The sequence below is a fragment of the Homo sapiens genome, chromosome 8, assembly GCF_000001405.40.
Source record: "Homo sapiens chromosome 8, GRCh38.p14 Primary Assembly".
In the NCBI taxonomy this organism is placed as follows: Eukaryota; Metazoa; Chordata; class Mammalia; order Primates; family Hominidae; genus Homo; species Homo sapiens.
The window spans coordinates 15,213,545-15,241,501 of NC_000008.11; the positions used below are offsets into that span (position 1 = coordinate 15,213,545).

General features: G+C 37.3%; 1 protein-coding gene across 4 annotated transcripts in view; it reads right to left on the bottom strand.

Annotated features, from left to right (window-relative positions):
- The window catches only part of SGCZ (sarcoglycan zeta), a 1,153,587-nt gene extending 1,128,700 nt beyond the window's left edge, over positions 1-24,887 (bottom strand). For all 4 annotated transcript variants that reach the window (NM_001322881.2, NM_001322879.2, NM_001322880.2 and 1 more), the window contains exon 1: positions 24,041-24,887. Coding sequence is in view for 3 of the 4 variants with exons in the window: in NM_001322879.2 (NP_001309808.1) it covers positions 24,041-24,079 (39 nt within the window). In the remaining variant the exon portion in view is untranslated. The remainder of the gene's footprint in view (positions 1-24,040) is intronic.

Below are 27,957 nucleotides of genomic sequence, written 5' to 3' on the forward strand. Positions count from 1 at the left end.
ATGCATTATCAGTCTACAAAAACAAAAGAAACAAATCCTAATTGCTTTTATAAGATATCTAAAGTGCCACATTCCTACATAGATTTATAAATTTAATGAAATATAGAAATCTCTCTACATTTGAAAATAAATAATTTTCACAGACTTAAGGTAGCAAAAAAGTGAAAAGATATTTAACATAAACCCCATTAACTTATCCTTCTACTAGATATAATACTGTTTTATGTCTTGAGAAGATGGTAAACTTGTAATTTATAATTACTAGAATACTCCTTAATAAAAGGAGGAGAATATGTTCTAATTTTCCCATAGGACCATATTTCTCTTTTTAAAAAACCACAATTCTAAGCTTTGCAGCTATGAATAGTTATTAACAACATCAAATTATACTTATTTTGGGGTTCAGCTGTACTCTTTGACCTTGCAGAATACAAATAATTTTAAACTTGCCTAAGTTATTATTTTATTTTAAAATGCATTCCTATTTCATTAACTTATAGAAGCTTTTGTATATTCACTTTAGCCTTTCATAATTTTTATTCTAGTATAATGAAATGTTCTCTGATGATCAGCCATGTGAAAAAAAACATCAATTTTTATATAATAATAAGTTAGGCACCAAAAGTGGCATTGAAATATTTATTCTAATAGAATGATCCATAATATAAAATTATTTTCTTTTTTTAAACAATTACAAAATACTGTCACGATAACTAAGCAGAAAGTTTGATTTTTGGTTTGTTTTAAAGGAACATGCAAAACAGCCTGAAAAGCATACAAATATATGTATTATTTAAATCACTTTAAACAGTGTTTCACTTTATAGGAGTTTCTAAAATCCCAACACTGCTGCTTTTATTTAATGTCCTAAAAATTCACATTCACTGAGGTTTATTTGACTGTTTTAATTTTAACTCATCCAACTTTAATGTGTCTATGCATATAAATCACTTATATAATATCTAGTATACTAGCTAATCAAAGTTAGAGTTGAAATCTGAAACCTCTGCACTGTTTCTAATTGCTTCTTAGGTTTTGTCAGAATATTTTGTCATGCTAGACATGCACATCTTCCTGTGCAATCTCAGGCAGTTCCCTGAATCGTGGGGAGCTCACGTTACAATTTATCTTCCTAAGGGAGGCATATTCCTCACAGAGGTCATATTTAAGAAACCTCAGACTCAAATTCTGAACACTTTGACTTACCTTCTTCTTTCAAAAATAATTGCCTATCTAGGCCGCTGATGGTGCAATTTTAAGGATATAATTTGGCAACTGGTCATTAGAGATGTTACCAGAGCAAATGAAAACCGCAAACTCAGTAAGAAATGAAGAGCAGGTGTTCTTTCACTTAGACAGAAAAGCGAAGTTGCAGATAATGAGACTGTGATGAAAACTAGTGGAGGATACTATGTATAACACACAATGTTAAGGTTGATATTCTTCCCACACACTCATCTGCATGCTTCTTTAATTAAATGAGCAGGATAGTTTGCATCTTTTAACATTTAATCTTGAAACAACTCCCTCTTTTCAACTTTAAGTAATGATCATGTAGATTACTGAATATGTAAAACAGTACAAGAAATTAGTTTATATGCCTCTTAGTTAACTGAAGTAAACTGTGGCATCCTGTGGCATTAAACTAGATATATCACAGTTACAAAGATAATTATTGCTCTTCAAGATATTAATATGAATATTTCACTTTATGAATATTTCACTTTATTAAAGTAGTTCTAGTAGGGTGCCTCTAAAACGTTTTTCCTAAAATGCACTGCATTTGGTATACGCAAGAAGAAAAAACCTTTCAGAAAAATTCCATTATCTGAATATAACATAAACAATCAAAATCTTGCTGAACTTCATATTTTTACAGGCACTGTTTTACTTCCTTCGGGGAAGTCTCAATTTTAGATTTCTGTCTGGAACATACACACACCTACATCTGTCTATCTAGCAATGCCTATAGGTGTTTATAGTTGCATTTGCCACTTAAAGATTAGCTCAGGATGATCAGGGCCAGCTGGAGGTAAGACATTTTTTAGGTTGCTGTGGGCTATTTTTAGCACAAGGGGAGAAGTAAATACAATCTTTCCTAGTCCAAATTACAAAACTTCATTGCCAAGACAAGCTGAACTGAAACTTTTGCTAAGGCAGTCTGACCCTGCCAAACTGATCAGTTGTTAAAGAGCTCTGGAATAGTAATAAACCTCTAAGAGTTACAATTAAAGTCCTATATGTTCTTTCATTGATAATAGACTGACAAAACATATTTTTAAAGTAAAATTCTTTGGCAGCCTGTATGCAAACAAAGATATAATGTGATGAGACAGTACAAACTTTAATCCGAAGACAGAAACATCAACTTCTGGAATGCATTTTTCCTGCATTCTGTTTGAATATTGGAAGTACATCCTTGTTGGTTGCCTGACACTTTCCTCATCAACAGTGTATCTTTAATATTTCTTTGTCATTTAGGAGAAAATTGAGCTAATTCAGAAGAGCAGCATCCAGAACATCTCAAGTGTGGCCCCATCTACTCTGATACCCATTACTATTAACATCTGCCAGAGCCACTAATTGCATTCTCTGGGGATATGGTTGAAAGCAAAGGCACTTCTCATTTCAAGAAAAAAGGATGTTTTAAGTATCATTTTAGCTTATTCTTTTTTTTTCTTTTTTTTTTTTTTTTGAGACGGTGTTGCTCTGTCATCCAGGCTGGAGTGCAGCGGCACGATCTCGGCTCAAGGCAAGCTCCGCCTCCTGGGTTCACGCCATTCTTCTGCCTCAGCCTCCCGAGTAGCTGGGACTACAGGCACGCACCACCACGCCTGGCTAACTTTTTTATATTTTTAGTAGAGACGGAGTTTCACCGTGTTCGCCAGGATGGTCTCGATCTCCTGACCTCATGATCTGCCCACCTGGGGCTCCCAAAGTGCTGGGATTACAGGCATGAGCCACCGCACCTGGCCAGCTTATTCTTTCTAAAGGATGTTGGACGTAACAAAGACCCTGTACAAGTTGTGTATAAATATACAGAATTCCCAGGAAACTGTCAAGAGAACTATATAGATATCCTTATTGCTATGAACTCACTATTAAAGAAAATATGGAAAGCATCTTGTTACTTTATATTCCTGGAATGGAATCTTCTAAAGGGCAAGTATTTTAAAGAAATACAAGCATTAAATTTGGTCATAGTAGCTGCAGCTGCAGCAGTGATGGAGTTACAAACAGAAGACTAGAATTAGGAGAGAATAAAACAGACTAGAATTAGGAGAGAATAAAACTCTTCACTTCTTGAGCTATTTCCTTTTATCCCAGGCCACAAAAGAGTTATAGAGAGATTTTTGGGTATCGTTGCTTCTGCACATGGGATTAGGGTAGAAGAGAAGATTAAAGGGTAAAGAATCTTACCATCATATTGAAGACAATCTTTCAGGGGAATGGATAGATGCTCTTGACTTTTCAGGTATCATGTCCTGCTTATGCGCTTATATTCTTAAAAAAAAAAAAATTGTTAGGATCAAAAAGTAAGCATTCCGACAGCTAATATTAACCCCACAGAGTAGAGTTAAGAATTGAACTGGCCGGGCGCGGTGGCTCACGCCTGTAATCCCAGCACTTTGGGAGGCCGAGGCGGGCGGATCACGAGGTCAGGAGATCGAGACCATCTTGGCTAACACGGTGAAACCCCGTTTCTACTAAAAATACAAAAAATTAGCCGGGCGTGTTGGCGGGCGCCTGTAGTCCCAGCTACTTGGGAGGCTGAGGCAGGAGAATGGCGTGAACCCGGGAGGCGGAGCTTGCAGTGAGTCGAGATTGCGCCACCGCACTCCAACCTGGGAGACACAGCGAGACTCCGTCTCAAAAAAAAAAAAAAAGAATTGAACTAACAAAAATACCTCTTTTTTTTTTTTTTCCTGAAATTTCAGTGATCGTTTTGGTTTGAGTTCTATAACCAGAAAGCTGGACCTTTGAAAGGATGAATTATACCAATCTAGGAGGGTTATAACCAAGATTCTTGCCCCCCCTTGTCCCAATTTGCATACTTAAAAACGTGGAAGGGACGAGACTGGCGTGCCTTTTCTTTGTTTTCCTGACTTGCATGCACTGAGTTTTCTACTTAGCATTTTGAAATATTAGCATAGGCAAATGAACTAGCCTATCTACTTATACAAATTAGAAAATGAAATTCTCCTGTATAGTCTTCAAGCAAAGCAATGTGATAGCAATAAGACTTAAGAAACTAGGGCTCTGGCTGTGCGTGGCATTCATGCCTATAATCCCAGCACTTTGGGAGGCTGAGTTGGACGGATCACTTGAGGTGAGGAGTTAGAGACCAGGCTGGCCAAATGGTGAAACCCCATCTCTACTAAAATACAAAAATTTGCCAAACGGGGTGGCGTGTGCTTGTAATCCCAGCTGCTGGGGAGGCCGAGGTAGGAGAATTACTTCACCCTGGGAGGCGGAGATTCCTTCGGTAAACATACATGCAATAAATTCTATGTAAAATATAGCCCATTTACATAAAATACATGTATTTTAATAAAATTGTGATTTTCTATTCTATTAAATTTTTCTTTCTTTGTGGGTTGAGAGGAAACTTATTTTTAGTGGGTAACTTTTTTAAGTTTCTCATGAAAGACTTTGTATTTTTAAATATCTCAAAGAATCAACATTTCTGAAAGCATATATACAAAGAGATGGAAGAGTTATTTAAAAGAATCCTATATAAAAGAGCCTATTGCCCTATTATAAATCAAATACCCAGAACCTGAGACTAGTTTAGCAAAAAAGTAGTTAAACTTGGTGAGATGTGAAATTAGGTTTTAATGCATGCAGAACACATCCCAATGCATATTTTTAGGTGTAGGCTGATTGACTTTTCTCAGTGTTTATAATTAAAAGCTGCCTTTAGGCAGTTAAGAACCTTTGGAGAGCTTTTGATATTATTAAACTCAAGCACTTACATTTAGTTCTAACATACATCCATGCAAAGACCAACACTCTAGTCTCATCCCAGGACAGATTTTAACATGGCCACCTACCAATACTGTTTCTTGCAGCCAGTTTATCAGCTTTTCTTCCTAGTGTACCCACATGAGTACACTCGTTTTTTTACAGCCCAATCATGTTTCACTCATTTCACCAGCCCTCATGAACATATTAACAATAACTGAGTAATAATTGACGCATGGATGGATAGTTCTGTGTGAAACATTGATGACTGTACCCACATAACTATCCTATTACAGTCTCACAATCTATATGCAGTAGGTACAATTATTAATCTCATTTTACCATTTGAGGGAATCGACATTTAGTAAAGTTAAATCACTTGCCCAAGGTCACACAGCCCACAAGTGGCGCTGAAAATGAATCCTTGTCTATGTGGTGCCAAAGCTGAACAAAGAGAATGAGCGATCACTGGGTTCTCAAAGATCGTTAGATTACATTCGTTTTCTCCTCCAACAAACACGCTGTAAATCGTTTTACCCTGCACTCTCCACGATTAGGAAGATAAAGAGCTTTTCTACTCAAATCAAATTATATTCAATAACTACATATTGAGTACTTTTTTACAAGATACTTGGCATATCATGTTTATTTATTAATCATGATTTAAATTCATTTCTTTTCAGAGTTTAACATTCCTTGAATTCAAGTCTCTCAGGGATCATACATGTGGATTACTCTCATGATACTATACTTTCCTTTCTCTTGTGTTTGTTCACATATATACATATAAGTATGTGATTTGTATAAAATGTAAACACAATCTTGACTGTGCTCAGTTAAAATACATTGCTGAGTCAATATAATCCATACATGTTGATGTATAAGATATATCAACTGCATCTTCTGCTTTCATAAACTATCAGTTATTTCCTATTATTCGTTGGTCAAAAATCAGAAATGCCCAACTCAATAGAATGGTCATCTGAGAAAGGTGTGTTTTTTCTTTTATGTCTATGATGGGAATTTCATCCCAGACTATGATGGGAACTTTATCTCAGGATGCAGTACACTGTTCGTATCCCATTAATTTTATTATTCAATAGCAGAAGTGGTCTTTGGATACTGAGTAGCTGAGATATTTACCGGAATGCTACTATTCACCTCATCTAAGTGAATACAGAAGGAAACAGGAGGTTTAACTGAGGAGAGATTTTGTGCCAGGCATACAGATCATTCCCAATCACCTACTCACTTATGTCTCATTATGAATTTGAAGGCGAAATAGCAGTGAGACCAGTTTTCCAAAGCAACTTTCATTCAAAGGTGAATTAGTTCAACAAATATTCCTGAAGTGCCTATAGTGTGTAAAGCACTGTTTTTAGCTGCTTGAGATAAAATAAACAAAAAAGTGTAAAAATACTTTGATGGTAGTTGTAAAAAGAATAGAGAAAAGCAGATACTCATTTGTTAAACATAATTCTTAAAAATGGTACACAAATTGTTCTAACAATGCCTTTGAAATGCTTGGATCTATAATATACATATAACTAACAGATATGGATCTTAAAATAATTTCAAGAACAAATTAAAAATACCACTGCCTACAAGCACACTTAACAAATGAAATAATAGAAAAAAAGCACTTTCCTCAACATAGTCTAAACAATATACTAAAACCAAAAGTTTTTGAGGTCATTAATAGATGTGGAAGTAGTACTTCAAAAGTCAGTTTTGTAGCTCTCTTTGGACAAACTGACGTTTATATACATCAGTTCCTTACTCCAAACTTCCTGCTATCTAGTCTTATTCCATTAAGTGTAAGAATCAGAGACATAATAGTAAGCATGTTTTCTTGATATTGGTTACCCACAACAATGGCTCACTGGAATGAAAAAGAAAGTGGAGACACAAAGCTCCAGGCCCTTGCAAATGACACCCTGCCTTGCCCCATTTCTAACTGCTTGGGCAATTCTGATTAAAATCAGAGATAAGAGGATCCTGAAGCATCCAGTTTCAGGACGATTTAGACTCAACTAGAGTAGGAACTCTTAGAAAATTACATAAACTAGTTCAACCATTGTGGAAGACAGTGTGTCGATTCCTCAAGGATCTAGAACTGGAAATACCATTTGACCCCATGATGCCATTACTGGATATATACCCAAAGGATTATAAATCATTCTACTATAAAGACACATGCATACGTACGTTTATTGCAGCACTATTTACAATAGCAAAGATTTGGAACCAACCCAAATGTCCATCAGTGATAAACTGGATTAAGAAAATGTGGCACATATACACCACGGAATACTATGCAGCCATAAAAAAGGATGAGTTCATGTCCTCTGCAGGGACATGGATGAAGCAGGAAACCATCATTCTGAGCAAACTATCACAAGTACAGAAAACCAAACACCACACGTTCTCACTCATGGGTGGGAATTGAACAATGAGAATACTTGGACACAGGATGGGGAACATCACACACAGGGGCCGGTCGTCGGGTAGGGTATAGGGGGAGGGATAGCATTAGAAGAAATACCTAATGTAAAGGACAAGTTAATGGGTTCAGCAAACCAACATGGCACATGTATACCTATGTAACAAAACTGCATGTTGTTCACTTGTACCCTAGAACTTAAAAAAGAAAAGAAAATTACATAAGCAAATAATTACATTTACTCTAAGAAGTCAAAATCAACATGAAAAGCCCAAAGTTCCCCTGGATTTGCGAAGAAGGGTGTATTAAAATACACTTAACTGCAAATGAAATAAATCAAACTAAACTAACATGGGAGTGGGGGAGTGGGAGGTTGAAGAGGGCTAATGAGTAAGATTTATTTTCAGGTGAATAGCACGGGATCCTAGAAAGAACAGAACTCTTTCTCTCATCTCTGATCTGCCTCATTCTTCTTCAGCAGCAGGTGGCCACAGCTGTGTACCGCACTTGGTGAACTAAAAGATTAGTTTCCAAATTTTCACTGAAAATTCTAGCAACACTATAAACCAGGTCTATCCTATCATAGGCTAGTTCAAAAATTCCAGCAGGGGTGACACTGCCTTCCTAGGATGAATATTTGAAATCTGTGAAGACACTTTTGGTGTCATGGTGACTTGAAGGATTCCTACTGTTATGCAGTAGGAAGAATCCCGAGATGCTGAAAACCCATCAATGTGTGGAATAGTTGTCGACGACTCTGCCCGAAACCTAAGTCCATTTTACACTTTTTTTTAAACAAAATTTAACTCATCTTTGCACAAGTAACTGATTGTCCAGGAATACAACCTTTGTGTAAAAGGAGAGAAACACTGCATTTCGTTTTGTTCAGAAGTTACCAGGAGTTGCTCAGTACTTCAAAAAATACCATGTCACCATGTGGAACACTCTGCAGGAATCTGAATGGCCCACACAACGTTATCTCTGTCTGAGTCTTCAATTGTAGCTTTTGCATTCCCTGTGTCCTAGCACTTACATTTCAAAATGCATAGAATTACATCATAAAATTATTTCCTCTTATTCACTTTTACTTCTCCTTCGTAATTACGTAACATTTTCAAAATTATATGTAAGTTGGTTAGACTATGAAAGCATTTAAAAGAGAATCCAAAAGAGGGCTTTGTAAAAATTATGTGCAAGTTATATTATCAAAGCATTTTATATTCTAAAGGGGGCTAAATAAAAAGTATTTGCCTTAAAATATAGGATATTGGATCCAATAAGGTTAAAATTAGATTATGTCATCCATATTCCAGGGAGAGAGAATCTCACTAGTCCAACTTGGGTCAGGCATTTCACCATCCCCCAAGCAGTTATGGCTAAGTAGCCCAACTCAAGAAGTTAAAACATAGTTTTCAAGAGTCCAGCATTAATGACAAGGCTTAACTGGGAGGCACTTCCAGTTTTTCTGTCATGGAAAATATTCCTGCCTATGAAAAAAAAACACCCCTGGAAGGACCTGCTTGGCTAGCAAATCTGATAAATCAATTAGTGCTTACATATTAATGCTTACAAATGATTTAATGTATTAGCTTTTACCAGTAGTTGTCTATCAGAGAATTAGAAGGAATTTTTCACAATCATTTATTTTAGCACCTTCATTTTGCATTTGTGGTAAATAATTATATTTATGAGAGTTTTTGTTTTTGTTTTTATACATCCCAAACTGCTTGGCTGGTCAAGGTCTTAGAAGTCATGATGCTCTTTATGGCTTCCAAAACTTTCATTTATCAAGCTTAAACACAGAGTGTGTGTGTGTGTCTGTGTGTGTGTGTATGCGTGCATGTGTGGGTGTGTGTGTGTGTGACTAAATAAGAAAGAAACCTTATTTTGCACAGAGAAGCAATAGTACTCACTAACAATTAAAGACAACAAATGGAAAGTAAATGTAAAACTGATAATTGCCAACATTCAATTTTAGTTACAAATTGCATGAGTTTCATGAAAGCATAGTTTGAGAACCACTGTTTTAATTCAAAAACTGATTGAAATAATGGAAGTTTCAGACAATTTGGGAAATATTTTTCCAGATGGTAAGGAGATGAGAGAATCTTAAATCATATTAAATGGGCTGCTTTCTATTTTACCAACCCTTAAAGCATACCTTATGATGCCTAAGAACCGAATAGTCTCTGGATAATCTGAAATTGAAATAAACTTGGTTTACTGTCATCCGTTTCTGAAACCCAACACCAAAGATACGGAAAATAAAAAGAAATTTCTCCCTAAGCTAAGCACTATCTAAAATGGAAGACTCAGAATCAACTACATGATAGAAAGTTTGCAGTAAGAACTCAGCTACAAAAACATAGCTTCCCCAATATTTTGGTATATATCACTTCAAAAGTTGGCTTCAGAAATCCAAAAGGAACATTCTCCCACCTCACACAAAGACGACTCCTTGTGTGACTACCACATGGTAATAACCTTATAAAAAAGCCTAGAAATATGTAGTAAATCACTAGTCCCAGTAACTTGTTACCATTTACTTCATTATTTAACGTGTGTTTTAATTCTGTATTTGATCCAGTAACCAAAACAGAAGACTAAAAGAGATGGTGCTATTTCCACCAATTTAAAATTCTGGTCAGACACCAAATATTGCCAAATATATATTAACAAGGATGTAATAAATATCTAACCTGGATCCATGATTTGGTAGAGAACATTAGTAGATATATAAAACATAGACAATCCATAATCCTCATTGTTTTTACTAATTATATTTTGCACATTTCAGATAGTATGGAGTCATTACAGAATATGTATTTAAAAAACGAGAACTAGAAAAAGTATAGCAAAATCATTATGGGTTGCAGTTGCCAGCGAAAAGCTCCTTTTTAAATTTTTATTTATTTATTTATTTATTTATTGAGACAGAGTCTCACTCGGCAGAGTGCAACGGTGCAATCTCAGCTCACTGTAACCTCCACCTCCTGGGTCCAAGTGATTCTCCTGCCTCAGCCTTCCCAGTAGCTGGGATTACAGGCATGGGCAACCACACCCAGCTAATTTTTTGTATTTTTAGTAGAAACGGGGCTTCACTGTGCTGGCCAGGCTGGTCTCAAACTCCCGACCTCAAGTGATCTGCCTGCCTTCGCCTCCCAAAGTGCTGGGATAACAGGCGTGAGCCACCATGCCCAGCCAAAAAGCTTCTTTAAAAAGACAGTATGGTAGTTCTTACATAAACTCTATTTATAACAGAGTATATTTTTCTTCTTTCATAAAGATTCAGGAAAGTCATAAAATACCAACCTGGATAATTTTTTTAAAGACACATTATAATAAAATTGAAGAACATTAAAAACTAAAAGAAGGGATTAACATCTGGTTTCTCATTTGCAACATGAGAATCAAGACAGTGTAATACTTTTAATATCCTAAGAGAAAATACCTGTTCATCTAAAATTGTATACCCAGAAAAAAATTCTGAAAAGCTAGAGAAAGAAAACGACTTTATCAGACTATCAAGAAAACTGAGTTTGCTACTACCATACGTACCTCAAATAAAAGGGAAGTAATTTCTGGGATTAAACATAACTCATGAACTAAAATGCCAGAAATAAAACCCAATATATTAGATATTACAATAAACGTAAATAAGCTAAATGCAGTAAATAGGCAAAGCATTATCCAAACGGATTTCTAAAATCTAACTATATGCTGCTTTCCAGATGTATCTAAAATCTGAATATACAAAAAGGTTCAAAATAAAAGAATGAAAAGAATACTTATGAGAAAAACTAGCCAAAATAAAGCTGGATAATGCTATAGTGATATTCGTAAAAGCTGATATAGCTATATTAAAATCAGACAAAATAAACTTTATGGCAGACATCATTAGCAGGGATGAAGAAAGTCATCACCTATAAGTTTTAATTCACCAGGAAAATATAATTTTAAACTTATATGTATCTTATAACATAGTCTCAAATATATAAGGCAAACATTGAGAAAGCTACAAAAAGAAATAAATGCAGTATCTAAACAAAATTTTAACATATCTCTAATTTGTAGTTTAAACAAACAAAATAGAAAGATTATGAACAATTAAAACAGCATAAATAATAAACTTAATCTAATGGACATATATAGGAATTAATCCCCAACAAGTGAAAACATACACACTCTTTTCAAGGAAACTCAGAATATGTACAAATATTTACTTTATACTGGCCCCTTAGCAATTTTCAACAAACTTCAAATGATTGGTATTATGCAGGCCATTTTTTTCCTACCACAATGCAATTTAGTTAAAAGCGTACAATGCAGCTAAATATCCAAAGTGTATAGGAACACAAAAAAAAAGATATATCTATCTCTTCCTAGGACTAGTTTACTGGTCAATAAGTAGGAAATATATAAGAAAAGAAGATGTATTTCAGACAAGTACTTATGCAATATTACAACAGAGGGAGAGGAACTGGCATGACTAAGTAGAACTTAGTCGTTCATTGAAGTTATGGTACCGTGTTTGAGTGTGTGTATCTGTATGTGCACGCACATGCACGTGTTCACATAATGAAAAGTACAAAAGAGGGTACTCTTTTCCAGAGAGCCTGGAAATTAGCAAGCTCTGTATCATGGTATATTGTGTTGCGGAGTGTGGATTATAACGTAAGCAATGGGAAATGACAATGAATTTCAAACAAGTGAAGGACACATTATTTTATTCATAAAGGGAAATCTGAAAGTATGGGATGTGACTTGCTTGGAGACTGGCTGGACAGAGGGAAAGTAGATGAAAAGTGTCAGGAAACCAGGTGGTTCCTTAATAAAGAAGAATGTGTCTCTGGAGAATCATGAACAGGTCTTGCCTCCTAGAATCTGCCACTTTGCAAATTACATTTTCTTACGAAATACCTCACTACCTATTGCTATCACCAGGCATCTTTAGTTAGATTTTGCAATCCCATGCCTGCTTTGATCTATGCACATCTACATTGCCTTACTCTTACTAGTCCACATTGTAACCCCCATAGAACAGCTAAACGCAGCTATGATGACTAAGTAACTTCTACTGAAAGACTAAGATAACAAGGATAAAATAATTACAAAGACGTCTAAGCAACATATTTACAGGTAACTAACAAACTGAGTACATTGAGTACTAATATGCAGCTCAGAAATTCAAATATCTTGGCCTGTCTTCCTTGAAATCCTTCGGACCTACCTACCTACCTCCCTACTTACTTAGCTGGCTCACTGTGTAAGCATACTGTCTTTGGGCCACCTCACAGGGACAGAGCTGTCAAATTCCCAGAGGCAGATAATATTTTTGACTATAAGAAATCTGACCAAACTGTCAAAAATACAGAAAATCAGCTAAGGAGATTGTTAAGCATAACTCATGGCTCCGCAAGAGTGTAACTCAAAGATTTCATCAAGATAGAAAATCAAAATTGATCATTATTATCTCCAAATAATCTGTGGTTCTTTTTTCACCAAACTGAACATTTTAGTCATCATCAGCAGCAGCTACTATGAAGTTTAACTTCCAGGAGCCATCTTTTTCTCATTTTTGAGGGTGCCCTTAGGCATTTTTAGAGACCTCTAAATCCCTCTGCATCCAGCATCAGGCCCACCCTTGGTGTCCCAGTTTCCACTCTTTCCCAACTTATTCTAAAATGACTTGTGAAACTTTAAGAGAGAATACATAAATCCCTTCACGTTAATTCCAAACCCACCCTGAACACTAGAGCTACATAACAGTAGAATTCACTATAATATGGCCAGCCTCACTGCAAGAAATACATACATATGTCTTAGGATAAAACAGATTAGAAAAGGTGAGGACTTGGTCTAGGGTTCTAACAGAAGGAAAAAAGCAGACTATACAGTGTGATGGTCTTAATGACCAGTTGGATGTACGGAATGATGACAAGGGATAAGTAGAGAACGATCTTCTGAGCTCCAGCTTGGATGACAAAATGAATGGTGAAATACTAAACAAGACGAAGAACATACGACAGGAGGGGCACACTTGACAGAGAATGAAAGGTGTGCTCCATTTTGTTAGATCAGGGTGACTGCAAAGCATCCAGGTAAAGATTTCTAGCAGATTGCTGGAAATAGGAGAGGTGTGCATGTAGCCCAAGAGAAAGGTGGGAGGTGCCCATACATAACCGGGCATCATCACCCTGCAAGTGAAAGTAGAAACCACATGAGTAGATAAAAATGTCTATGGAGTATATGTAAAGAGGGAATAGAAAAATACCATAGACAAAATCCCATACAAATTTTATGTATAAACAGAATTTGTGTTTTTCTCGTGGCATACACAAACGAGCTATTAAATGATTCTGAGAGTGGAAGATCAAATAGGTAAATATTCATATAATGCATATACATAGAAAATATTTTGAAAGTTAAATTCTTGCTAATAATTCAATCATGCACATACCAGAGAGTTCTAAGCATTACACCAACTAATACCACAATGAATCACACGTCTTATAATGTAAACTTTAGACATTAGATTACTTAAAGAGGAAACAACATCAGTTAAGTCAAATGTTCTTTTGGGGTAGAAACATAATGTTTATTCTGTTTATTTTTGATTTATTTGGAGTCATTCTTTCTCTTTCAAGCTATAAACTGCTGTTAACATTCTCAAATTGTAGTTGATGTGTTTTCTTATTATTTTTATTCATTCGTACTGTGACACTGTTCGTCAATAAGACAACGGGAAAAAATGAGATTTCAATTGTTTGGATTTTGATGGCATTGCACATGTTGCAAAACACTGAAGTACAACTCCACAACTCTGAATAGGCACAGAGTTTACAAATAAGATGGATGGTGCATCTCACTAAACATCAGAAAGCTGAGACTGAGAAGACAAAAAATTACACTCTGAGCATGTTCACAGATAATTTTCACAATTATAGAAGTCTATGAATGTCAAACCAATATACAGCACTATTTAATTGTTTGAGACAGCATGTTATCATAAAATGCTGAAACTTTACTATGGCTTAAATCGTATCTTTCCAGAAGTTTCTGAAATTCACTTTGAGTCGAAATATGGAACAGATGTTTGAAAAAAAAGTCGATACTTGCAGATGTTAAACATTTTAAAGTCAGTTGTGTTTTTATTTGTTATACATTAAGAGCTATTAATGTTTTAGGAAATAAATGAAACAAATACGTATGTAATATATTCATCTTTATAAAATGAAAGCAGGTTTGTATTGTAATTGGACTCAGAAGCTCTTAAAAGATCTTCAGTTGTCCTTGCCACAAGCCAAAAATATGTTTAGCTTAATCCACCTGTGTATTTCACACACTGTAATTACTAAATGTTCATAATTTCTCCCAGGGATGATTTAATAATGAGGAGCTTTATCATTAAGACACGACACTGTGCACAGACCTGATTATTCATGGAACTATGACTGAGGCATCGACTTTAAGAAACTTGATGAGATGAAATACAATATATAAAAGTAACTGTCTCTGCTGCCTAGAACAAGCACCTGATGAAAACATTGATTTTTATAAAATAGATTTGAAAACTTTAAACACAATGTTGATTAAAATAGCTCATTTATTTTTAACTTTTTCTAAAATAATGTCTCTGCCCTAGACCAAAGTAACAGACAACAGAAATACAGAGATTTAGAAATACAGGTGATGATTCACTACAAAGGCCAAATTTGAGAGCAATAACAAAATAATCATTTAAGACAGAATGCCTTAGAACAGGTAGAGGTGTTAACCTAAGTATTAAATATCAGTCTTTTACTTTAGGTATATAGTGGGTTTCATTTTGTGGCACACGAGTTCACCAATTACACAACTATCGTAGACAAATGAAGTCATGCAAACAAAAACTGGATACTCACAGCACAGTTAAGCTTTATAATCTTCGTAGCTCTTGATAAATTTTTGAAAAATGCAGGCTGGGCATGGTGGCTCACACCTGTAATCCCAGCACTTTGGGAGGCCAAGGCGGGTGGATCACCTGAGGTCAGGAGTTCAAGACCAGCCTGGCCAACATGGTGAAACCCGTATCTACAAAAATACAAAAATCAGCCAGGCGTGATGGCGGGTGCCTGTAATCCCAGCTATTCAGGAGGCTGAGGTGGGAGAATCGCTTGAACCCAGGAGGCAGAGGTTGTAGTGAACCGAGATCGTGCCACTATACTCCAGCCTGGACAACAGAGCAAGACTCCGTCTCAAAAAATAAAAAAAAATGCATAGTTATAAGTTGTTCAGAAGAGATGTGAAATACTGAGGCACATCTACTGAAACATGAAAATAATTAAGAGTATCTAAAAAGGATTTTAATAATTTTAACTGTATAAACATTTATTACCACTAATTCTTTATGAAAGCATAATAATAATTTCAAAAGTCAAAAATATTATGAGGCTAGGAATTAAAGATACAGGTATTTGTTGGAGATGGACCACAAATCTGTTCCTAAGGTAAAGGGGAACTAATTTAAAGTAGAAAAACACTATTGATTTTATGGTGGAAAAGATTTATAAAATTAAATGTAAATCAGTTGCTTAGGAGTACAACTAATTCTAGTAGTAAGAAGAGATAGAATTTCTCTCTCATGCATCCCATGTTGGGGGAGAGTTTGAAGGCTAGAACATGATTCAAGAAATCTTGAGGTAAGCGATTTATTTCCTTGAATTAGTTTCTCCTTCTGTTTTGGATTTTAAAAGCCCTCAAATACTCTGAGTAAACACAGACTTTGGAATCACAATGATAACAGCGTTTTCCCATTCATGACATTGATTTATTGTATCATGTTTCACAAAAATGTTCTCACTCATGGCAGCTGAATTGGTTGCTTCTACCCAAGAATGGAAAGAATCAAAGGGTCTTTTATCTTAGGTAGATAACATGTATTTTTCTAGCCATTCTAAAGAAAGATGTGAGTTTAAAAACATGTGTGGAAATAAGTTAGATAATGATAATGTGTGAGTTAGTAATTAAAGCATTGCATGCCTCCAGCAAAGACAAATATTTAGTAGGCTCTTAGCTCTTATAGATTTAAAGTTTGCATTTTTAACTATTTTGAAGTAAACCGGAATGTGCATGAAGAGATGTGAAGTGTTGAGGCATGTCCACTGAAACATTATGCAAATAACCAACAAATATCAACCAACGGTAATTTGACCCAAAACTAAAATAAGTCACTATGAATAAGGATACTAGTTAAAAAAAAAAAAAAAAACTGTAATGTGAACCACTACTTTGCAACAAGATTAAATACTATGATGGTAGCTCAAATACTGTCACTCTTCTTGGAAATTAGAGTATTAGAGAAACTCAGTGAAAAATCTCTACCATCAGACGTTCTTTAAGATTTCCCTGGAATTTTGGCCTATGTATAATAGCACAGGATTTGGAAATAGAGGACATGAATTTAAGTTCTTATTCTACTATCTGTTAACCTTGTGATCCTAGGCATTTCACTTGATTTTTCTGAGTCTCCATTTTGGTACCCATAAAATGAGAAGATAATATTCAGCAGAAAATCTTGTTTTGATGTTCAAATGAAGAATTATTTGCAGAATGAAAGGAACTATATAAACTATATCAATGTGAAAATAATTTCCTTTGAAGAAGATACAAAAACGTCATTTTTGAGCCATAGACTCTGAGCCCTGGAAGACAATTCGAGATCAACTGGTTGTGAGGTTTTTACCTTCCATTCTTCAGTCTACAGTTCTTGCCATGGTCCCAGAGTCAACTGCAGAGGCCAAAGGCAAGTATGGAGAGATTCCTCAGACTGTCTTGAACCAAACTTCCCTTTCACTGCAGTTAAATGTTAGGTTGTTTCGAAGACATTGGACAAATTCTTCAACTGTGGCTAAAAAATGATTATGACAAAACCCTTTCAAAAAATCTAATCCCCACCGTGCAATGCTTGAGAATCCCTTGGCCAAGAAGGTTTGAGGGACATCCCCAAGGTGCCACTACTGGTAGACGGCAGAGCCAGGGTTTGAACAATGTCTCCCAAGTACTACTCTAACCAGATCAGCACCTTTTCCACTGCACAAATGAATTTCCTCAAACACTACAATCTGTTAGATTTACAGTGTGAGCTTTAGTACTTTGCATGCTTCTGAATTCTAACTGCTTCTGAGCTCCATTTTAGCGTGGGGTGACTGTTGGAATTAACTTCTAAGGCTGAAGCTTTAGCCCCTGTTTCCCTGATGGACATTGCCATGATAATTAAAGCTTTTCTGGCTGGATGCTAAAATCCTCTATTTTTAAAGGTTTCATATGTCAACTTGGCATAGAACACTCTAGATAACCTATTTAATACCAGCAAAGTGGTATAAAGTTTTCTAAAATCTAATTGTGGCTTATCATATTTTTCAGTCAACGTACAAACATGTTGTTTAGGAGCCTCAAGAAAACTCTCAAGGCAATTTGGAACAATTTTTAATTTTTAGAATGTGAGGCTACATAATGCTCTTGGAGGGGTGGTAACCTTAAATTTGCTCATTCTGTGGTTAGCATAGAAGTCTCTCATCAGTTTCACTGAGAATATAGATAAACCCATGTTTCTAGACATTTGCCAAGAAAAAGAAGAGACTTTGAGTAAAATAAAAACTTTGGATGTTAATATATTCTTTTTTTTTTTTTTTTTTTTTTTTTTTTGGAGACAGGTTCTCACTCTGTCACCCAGGCTGGAGTCCAGTGGCAAGATGTCAGCTCACTGCAACCTCCGCCTCCCACCTTCAAGCAATTCTCTCGCCTCAACCTCCCGAGTAGCTGGGAGTACAGAAGCACACCACCACATTCTGCTAATTTTTGTATTTTTAGTAGAAACAGGGTTTCACCGTGTTGGCCAGGCTGGTCTTGAACTCCTGGCCTCAAGTGATCCACCTGCCTTGGCCTTCCAAAGTGTTGGGATTACAGGCGTGAGCCACCATGCCCGGCCTAAAATGACGTTTATAGAAAATGTGGTAGCTTACTTCTAGTCACAGAGAGTTTTAGAAGCTAAGAATTTTATCACAAACCAAGCACAATTCTCAACAAATAAATGCACAAATCTTTACCTTGACATGTAAGCATTTACTCATTTAAACAGTTACCAATTTAAATGCATATTCTCAAAAATTCATAGAGAATTTGAACAAAAGTAAACGGTCATTTTCCTTAGTAACTTAAAGTTGTAAGCTCTGCCAAATTGTATTTTAGCTGAAATTCTGAGACAGCATAAGAAACAGCGCACTAAATATTACATAAATGTCCCAAAAACAGATGTGGATTTATTATCTTATAGCAGTAAGCCATCTCGTGTAGCTATGATTTTGAGTTCATAAATCTTAAAATATTCTTTTTTACTGGGCCTTCAACATTTGATGTATTTTCAATTGGTAAACTCTGGAGATCAGCAAAACTGTAATAGCCAGTATGTAGGCTGGAACATATGCTAAGTAATGACAGTAGACCACTGAAGAGTTCTAAAATAGTCATTTGTCCAACTTCCCACAAATGTATTTTTCTTAATTCTTTTTCCACTCATATCAAGTATGTTCCCTCATCCCTCTTAATGGCATAAGTGATGTTTCCCTACTGTAACTTGAATTTCAACTTCAATTAAACAACTTTATTTCCAAATATTAAAAATTCAAGATTATATATATATGGGTATATATGTGTGTGTATATATATACATATATATGTGTGTGTATATATATATATATGTGTGTATATATATACATATATATGTGTGTATATATATACATATATATGTGTGTATATATATACATATATATGTGTGTATATATATACATATATATGTGTGTATACATATATACACACATATATATATTTCAAAATAGCTAATAGGGTACATTTCAAATGTCTCAGCACAAAAAATGAGTGATGTGATTAATATAGTAATTAGCTTCCTTTAATTTTTTCCACATTATAGATGTATAGTAACATCACAGTATAACCCATAAATGTATACAGTTGTAGTTTATCAATGTCAAATGATATTAATTTTTCAAATTAAGGTTACCTGTTTCTAAGTCTTTGTGACTAGTTGCTATTTTGTAAAGTGAATTGGAACTAGACCTAGAGGGAAAGAAGTTATGATTCCTTTAGATGTGAAACAAGTCAAATAATTCAGTATTCACAAATATGTTTCATCTTTCTCAGCCAAGAAATGAATATATAAGGCAGGCTGCTAAAAATATGCCATTTGTTAGAGAGTACTATTTTTCACTATAGAATGACTAACATAACAAAATACCACCTACTTAGATTCATCAGAAAGCTTCCTACACTGCAGCAAGCTTGACTCTCCTGGGCTGAGTGTCTTATTGATTAAACAAACCAAAAAAAAAAAAAAAAGAAAGAAAGAAAAAAATAGAATTCTTTTAAGTGCCAACTCTCTTATTTGATTTAAATTGTAGATGAATGTACTATGACATTGCTTTAAGACCTCAGCATTTTTTAATCAATCTCTTGTTTAAATACCTATGTATTTTTTGCTGTATTATCATTTCTCACCCATATAATACTTTTTTAATGACCTCATTATATTATTTAGGGAAGGTTTTTCCTCACCTATCTAGGGCAAGATTCAAGTTCTTGGTAGATGAAATGTTGATTCAATTAAGCAGAGAAAAATGAAGCAACAGTGACTGGACTACATTTAATAAACTCAAATAAGTAAGATTATCCTTATTGAAAAGTTGTTTTATGTGTCTCAAGATTAACTATGTAGTTTGTAATTTTTGTAACGTGCAAAATAATTAAGAAAATATTCCAGAAGCATACCGTTCATGTTCTGCAATTAGCAGAAAAAAACTAATTTAACTTCCAGCCAGTCATCCCACTAACAGAACAATCCTGACAGATAAATAAATAAAATCTAGGATCTAACTTGACTGAAAAAAATTATATTATACTCATGATGTATTTTATATTTTTGATCTCAAAGCAAATAACAATTATCCACAAATAAATTCTTAGCATCTGAAAGCATGACTTAATTGCCAAATTAATACAGGTGAATTAGTACCCATATTTTAAAAGATGAGTAAAAGAATCAACAAAGTCATAGACTTTATTATAACTGTTTATTCAGCCTCAATGTCTCCTATGAGTAAATCTTACAAAAAGCAAAATTTAAAGTGTCAGCTCTAAAACTTAGTCATCTCATTTCCAGTGCATAAGATCAGTTGTTTAAAAGAGAGCAACGATGGAGCTAAAATAAAGGCTAAAGCTAGCAGTTAAATCTCGACTGCTAAAAGGCACCCAGTACTCTATAACTCAGAGATACTCCAGGATGGAGGGGGCTTTTTCTAATATCAATATTCATTAACACCCACATTTCCAAAGCAGCAACCCATATTTTGGATTTTTTGATGTTTCTTCTTTAAAGTAAACACCAGGGCAAAATCCAGAGTAAAGTTTATACATTCATTGGAGAGAGAAACAGAGATCAAAGGGAAAAGAACACACACATTCTTTGGATGAGAACTCTCTCCCTTTTCAACACTGATGTGTTTCATCAGGAGTTTGTGGGCAGAATAGAAGATGAAACATACTTACCTTCATTAGCAAGTTTTACACACATAACTGTATTTCAGTTTTCCATCAAATAAATCCTTTAACATGCATATTGTTTAGTTTTAATGATAATGGCAGCAATAGCTTAACAATTAGAGCTTATCTTTAGTTTAAAAGCTTGCAAAAGAAAACACTATTGACACTGCACAGCACATTTTAAAAAACCAATGTTTGCACACCCAGCACAGCAAAAAATAAAAAAATTGTTGTTAAAATCTCAAAGAGAAAATAGTTTATCCCAAATAAAGATAAATTATCAGAATCTTTCTTTCTTAAAACCTGAGGTAAGCAGCTTCACCTAACAATGACACTGATCATCTAAAACTAAGCTAAACTATATTTTTATACTTTTATGCACATTTATTTATGTATCAAACCCCAGTAAACATTTTTTGTATATTTAAAGCATCATAAAAACCAAAGTTCTGTGTGGATGTGTTTTAATGTAAGCATTATTAGATGATAAGAAAAGTCAAAACATGCAAATAATGCCAAAAACAAGTATCCTAGCTTTTTTCTTCCCTCTCTCCACTGATCACACCGGGAGGCTCTTCAGCAAGAAGCCACCAGAGACTAACTTGAACTGGAATGTCTAGGAAACCAAGCCAACCAACTCCGCTAAAAACAAGAAATCTAGACAAGTTATTCCACGCGCACTGCATCCATCTCTACAAACTGTATATATTTCAGAAGGATTCCACAGCCTTCGTATTCCACAAGTGTAGTCAAAACTGCCAACATAAATTTATTCCCAAAACTGGAGGATCTCAAACATTTTCTAATAAGGCTTGACTACATCTCCTCACTTGCCAGTTTTGACCCTCAAAAGTAGCTTGTCCTTGACATAATTTCTCAACAACCTCAATAGATCCTTGTATCTAACATGCCTTCATTTCTTCCCAGTCAGTCATTGCCAATATACCCCCTCATGCCCAAACCTTTCCAGTTCCCTACCCTCTGCTGCCAGAGCACTAAGTCCAGTACACTCTGGCTATGAGGATCTCTGGATTATCTGTGCAGGAGTAGTGACATTAAGCTGAGATCTTCTACTAATTCTAGACATAAGTTTCCCCAGTGGGTTTGCTCTTTTGCTGATTTAAACAACAATGTATTGGCACTGGGGTTCAGAGTGGGATAAGCTAGGAAACTAAAGGGATTTCAGGGGAAAGAATCACCCCAAATCATTTCTCCCTTCCATTTCTCTTAACAGAACGCTCTCTTCTGTGTCATACCCTAAAGTTAACCAAAAAATAATCTGGATACTCCACCTCTGCATAAAACACAGATCACAATCATTATCATACATTCTTCTTCGCATCTCAGATAAAACCTACCCCTTCTCCCAAGAGACTGGGATGCTTGGGAAAGAGAAGTAGGGAATCTTTGCAAACATAAAGGCAATGTGTCCTATCGGAGTAGAGCAGAGAGATAAGAGGAAACTTCTAGCCCAGGCCAAGGTCTACTGACTATGATCTTGGCAAAAACACAGAAACTTGTTGGCCAACTTTAAACGAAGCATCAAATCTGCCTCCTCCCTACTTCCCTTTGCCCAGGGAACTCAGTCTTCGGTGGAAGTGGTGTTCTAGGTCTTCTCACTGTCCTCCCTCCGTCCTGGACTGCATCTACAGTCAGTGGCAGGGCGATTCTGGCAGGCGCCACTGTTCTCTGTCCCTCCTTCCTTCCCCGTCTATGCAATCTGGGGCGCCTGGAGAACTGGGCTCCTGCGTGCCCCCTGGCCAGGGCACAGGACAGGCTGCAGACAGAGGCTTTGGAGCTCTGCAGGGGATTTTGCAGCCTGCCTAGCTTGTCGGATAAACCCATTTCCTTGACATTTCAGGGCAAACCTCTATTCGTCGTTTCTCCAGCGGGTGGGGGGGTGCCTAAACATTCTCACTGATCAAAGAAGCCAGAATCCATCTGAACCTCTGAAATAGTAGAACGTACCAAATGCCTAGGGGTAAAGAAGGGTGGAGGATTTCAATAAAAGAGGTGCTTCCAGTGTCGCCCCCTTTCCCGCTTTTTCGTTTACGGTGAGCGGGACATTTAAAGTATTTTGTGGTTTGTTGGTTTTTTAAAGTTTTTATTTATTGTGTGTATATAAATATATATATTTTTTTTTCTTGAAGGGAAGCAGGCAGAGGTGCCCATAGGCAGAGGGGCGCGTTGTCACCCCGGATGCTCCCTCCGGGCAGGCCCTCACGGCCAAGCAGGGGACCCCAGAGGGAGAGGGCGCGGCGCGGGGAACCCGCGGAGCGGCGGGGGGCTCCAGGCTGGTGGGAGACCGTGTGCGGCCGGAGCCTCCGCAGATGCCGCCCCTACCAGCCCGGCTCCCGCCTCCCCGCCCCCTGCCCGAGTCCCCGGACCTGCTCCCGCGCCTGGGGCTAGGGCAGGCTAGCCGTCCCCGGCAGCGGGGGTACCTCTCCAGCCCCTGCACTGCAACTGCGGGAGGAAACACTGCCCGCGGGCGGTGGGAGGGAAAAGGGGTCTCACGAAGTTCTGGGATAAAAACGGGCTGTCGTTGCAGATGCCTCTGTCACGCGAATCTCCGAGCGGAAATGCACTGTCCCCGTGCCGGGCTGGGGCACAGGCGGGATCGGAGCCGGGAAGAGGAGGCAAAGTGGCGGCGCAGCTCGGACAACTTTGCTGGGAAAGCAGGCGACAGCGGGCAGAGCTGGTGCCGCTGCCCCCCCCGGGGAGACGAGCCGGCAAGAGGCGCAGGGTCTGCACCCCAAATGCTGCCGTCACGGACCAGGAGGAGGACGGGGTGGCCGCTGGCGGGAGGAGCAGGCGGGGAGGGCGCCCAGCCCGGGAGTGCAGCCTGGCTCGGGAGAACCACCCTCCGTGTCCTCGGCCCCAGCAGGGGCGCCTGCGCCCGGGTGCGCGTCCCCCCAACGCCCCCTCGTCGTCCCGCGGGACCACCAACTACTCCGCGCCGCTGGAGGAGCCGCGGGAAGGAGAGGGGAGAGCAGGGAGCGCCGAGAAGCGGCCGCGAAGCCCGCCCGGACCCGCACGTACCTTGAGCTCCTCAATGTCCAGGTTCGTTGATCTGTCCATGGAGCGCAACTAAACGAAGTGGAGAGGAACCGGGCGAGTGGCACCCAAAAACAATCTAGTCTTTTAGTTTCCAGCTTAAACTCAGCTTTATCCTCCTCCAAGCCCCGGCAGCTCCTCTCAGTCTCATTCTCCGTGGTCACGCCGCCTCCACCGGGTTAAAAATAAGGAAAATAAATAAATAATAATGATAATTCACTTTATTTTACTTCCTCAAAGATTTAGTGACAGGTGATCTCTACCGCGGTGCAACACAGCTGAGTCGATTGAAACAGGGGCCAAAAGAAAAAAGGAAAAAAAAATCCACTCTATTTAAGATTATTTCTTCTTCTGCAATAAGCTTAGAACCCAGCGAATTGCTGCATCCCGAGAAAAAAAGCTGCTTCCCTGGTCAGCATCATGCGGCAAATTTCAAGCAAATGTGTTCAAACTGAAGAGAAGAGTGTATGATAAAAGGCTTCCTCCGTCAGGCTTACTCTGGTAGGTAATTTAGCTCCAGTCCCAGGCATTAGCAATGATCAGTTTCCCCGGCAAGATAACAGAATCCCCGAAGTCCTGCATAGACTTAAAAAATGTCTTGTAGCTGAGAGGTATTTTCTCAGTGGGGAAAAGAAGATAATCAAGTCAGAAGGGAACGTTCTCCTTTGAAGGTTATGCTAAAAGAGTTGAGGGAATAGGAGGTGGATCCAACGGAGAGAAAAAGAGGGAGAGAAAGAGAGAGGGAGAGAAAAATTTTCCTCCTGCTTCGCTGTTTTACTGGCCTTCACCACCAGGTGACTGACTTCGCTTCTCTCTTCCCACAGCCAACACTAAGGGGATTTCTCTCATCTGTCAAAAAGCAACATTTCCTCTCCAGACAAATACTATCGCTGGGTCTTAAAGCCTGCCCTGTGTCCGGAATCCACTAGGTGACAATCATTTTAATTCATTGCGTACATTGCTTCATCTTCCTGCAGATCTGGGAGGAACATGCTTGTGTGTATCACCCACATGTATTTAAATATACTCACTTCAGATCTCTGCTGCTTTCAGCATCAGATTTTTTAATTTAAAAAAGACTTTTATAGAAAGTGACAGATAAGAATATTAAAGGAAATTTCCTGGAACGATGCTTCTTATGATAAAGCAGTCTTTTATTAGAAAATTGTTCTTTACATAGATTCTGACAGGTCAGTGCATTTAACTTGTAGGTTGTAGATTTGGGGAAAGGGCTCGTTTTCTTCATTTAAATGTCTCAGTGTAAAACTTGACTTTTGAAGCGTTTTAAAGACTCTTGTTTTATTATGACACATAAACTATTGAGACTTAAAGATGTTTACAGATTTGGAAACAGAGCTGTATAAATACTTTTGTTTCAAAAAAAAAGTGTTTCTTTTTTTAGGATTTAATATGCACATTCCAGTCTCATGGTCTCTCTCTAACATCATCTCCGTCCTCTGCCTCCCTGAATTCCAGCCACCTAGTCTATTGGTCCACCTGCCAGTACTGGCTCTTTAATTCCCATTCTTGCCCCCTCGTTAAGGACAGCTGTCTCTCCCCCTAGTTCTTTATAGTTTTAACACTTCTGCTTCTGACTAAAGTCACCTGAGCAGAGAAAAATTTTTCTCAGGTGAGTCTGTCAGATATTCTCCTTTATCCTCTTGTCGTAGCAGCATTCTTAATTTACCATTATTTAATGTATGCTGTTATTATCCGTTTGTTTGTTTGACTCCTCCAATAGACTATAAACTCTTGAAGGCATGTTCTGGACGGTTCTTATTCACCAAATGTCCCAAGAGCCAAGCAGCTAATAAGCACACAAATGTGCATGGAACAGATAAATGTGTGGAAAGAAACCTTTACAGTTAATATTCTAATGTCTGAAACCCTGATGACTCCCCTCCTCCCCTCACCGGCACCAATGGAGCACATCCCAGTTTTTCTCCTTCTACTTTGCAGCTAAGCCTGGAGGGCTCAGCTTTCTCATGGAGGATGTCCATTTCATTAGTTTAAGCCTAGTCTATTCCATGCACTTGCCTAAGCTATCTTTCTTTCAAACTTTGACTTCTGACTACAGCTTTTAAGATTAACATCAAGTAGCCAAAAGTCCATAATGAGTAGGGCCAAACATCAGATTCTCAAAATAAACTTCATGTGCTTATAAGACATAATTATTTTGCATAATATATGATGAAAAATAATAAAGGTTCAGGCTGAGAGTAGATGAACTTATATAAGACTTTTAACTCTAAAAAAGAGCTTCTCTTCTAGAAAGTATCAACAATTCAACATGAACAAAGATAACTACTAGGATGATGCAAAAGTAATGGCAGTTTTTGCCACTGAAAGTAATGGCAGAAAACACAATAACTTTTGCACCAACCTAATACATAGGCTTTTGAAAGTCAAGTCTTTCCATATGAAAGAATTTGAAATTCCCTGTCAACTAGTCATTGCCTAACTTTAGAAAATTGAATAAAACAAGCAAATTTATTTTGAACATATTAGCAAACTGATATTATTTAAGGTAAGTTTTCAATTTGCAGTTGTGAAAATGTAGTTCAAGGAAGGTATCCATAGAAAAATGTTGATGTTTAAATATTATTCACAAAGGGAAAACTGCAGTTTCTTAATATGACATATTATAGTTGAAAGAAAAAATGATATTGTTCTTAATTTTATGTGTGTGTATATATATATATATATATAGACTCTAATTTATCTGTAGTGAATTTTAAAATATGAAATTATATCCAACATTTGATGTTGACCAGACTGGCATTATAAGCCAGTGGTCCCCAAATGATATGGCTTCTGGGTCCCCATAGAAATCTCATCTTGAATTTTCCCTCCCATAATTCCCACATGTTGTGGGAGGGAACTAGTGGGAGATAACTGAATCGTGGGGGTGGTTTCCCCCATGCCCTTCTCATGGTAGTGAATCAGTCTCGCGAGATCTGGCGGTTTTATAAGGGGAAACCCCTTTTGCTTGGTTCCCACTCTCTCTCACCGCCTCCAGGTGAGAAGTGCGTTTCGCCTCCCGCCATGATTGTGAGGTCTCCCCAGCCACGCAGAACCGTGAGTCCATTAAACCTCTTTTTCTTTATAAATTACCCATTATCGGTTATGTCTTTATCATCAGTGTAAAAACGAACTAATACACCAACATTTTTGGCATCAGGGACCAGTTTCATGGAAGACAGTTTTTCCACAGATGCATGGCACAGGATACAGGGGAAGGTTTTGGAATGAGACTGTTCCACCTCTGATCATCAGGCATTAGTTAAATTGTCATAAGGAGTGCACAGCCTAGATCTCTGGCGTGCACAGTTCATAATAGGGGGGTGCTCCCATGAGAATCTAATGCCCCCACTAATCTGACAGCAGGCAGAGCTCAGGTGGTACTGAGTGCTAACCCACCCACCACTCCCCTCCTGCTGTGTGGCCTAGTTCGTAACAGGTCACAGATGGTCAGGGGCTTAGGAGACCTCTGACATAAGCGATAGAAACAATTAGTGATTTCCAAATCAATTCCATATTTGGGTGCAATTACATGTCTATAAAGCGAGTGATTTCCAAGTCTATCACTATTTCATGAACTCCCATGCAAACTCATTAGGCTGAATATTTCTAAAACCAAAAACAATTACAGTTGATCACAAAAGTAAGAATTGCCAAAACATTTATATGACCTTTTAAGACAATCAGGACTCAGTTCCACTTCATCTGACATACGACTAGATGGCACAACTTTCAGAAAATTGAATCACTTTAAAGACATTTGAAATGAAGGCAATGGAAGGACGAGGAAGTGAATTGAGGAAAGGAGTATTTTCTAGATGTCCTGAGTCACAACTTCAGGACAAAGACAGCTACCCATGGCTGTGGAGGAAATCGTGCTG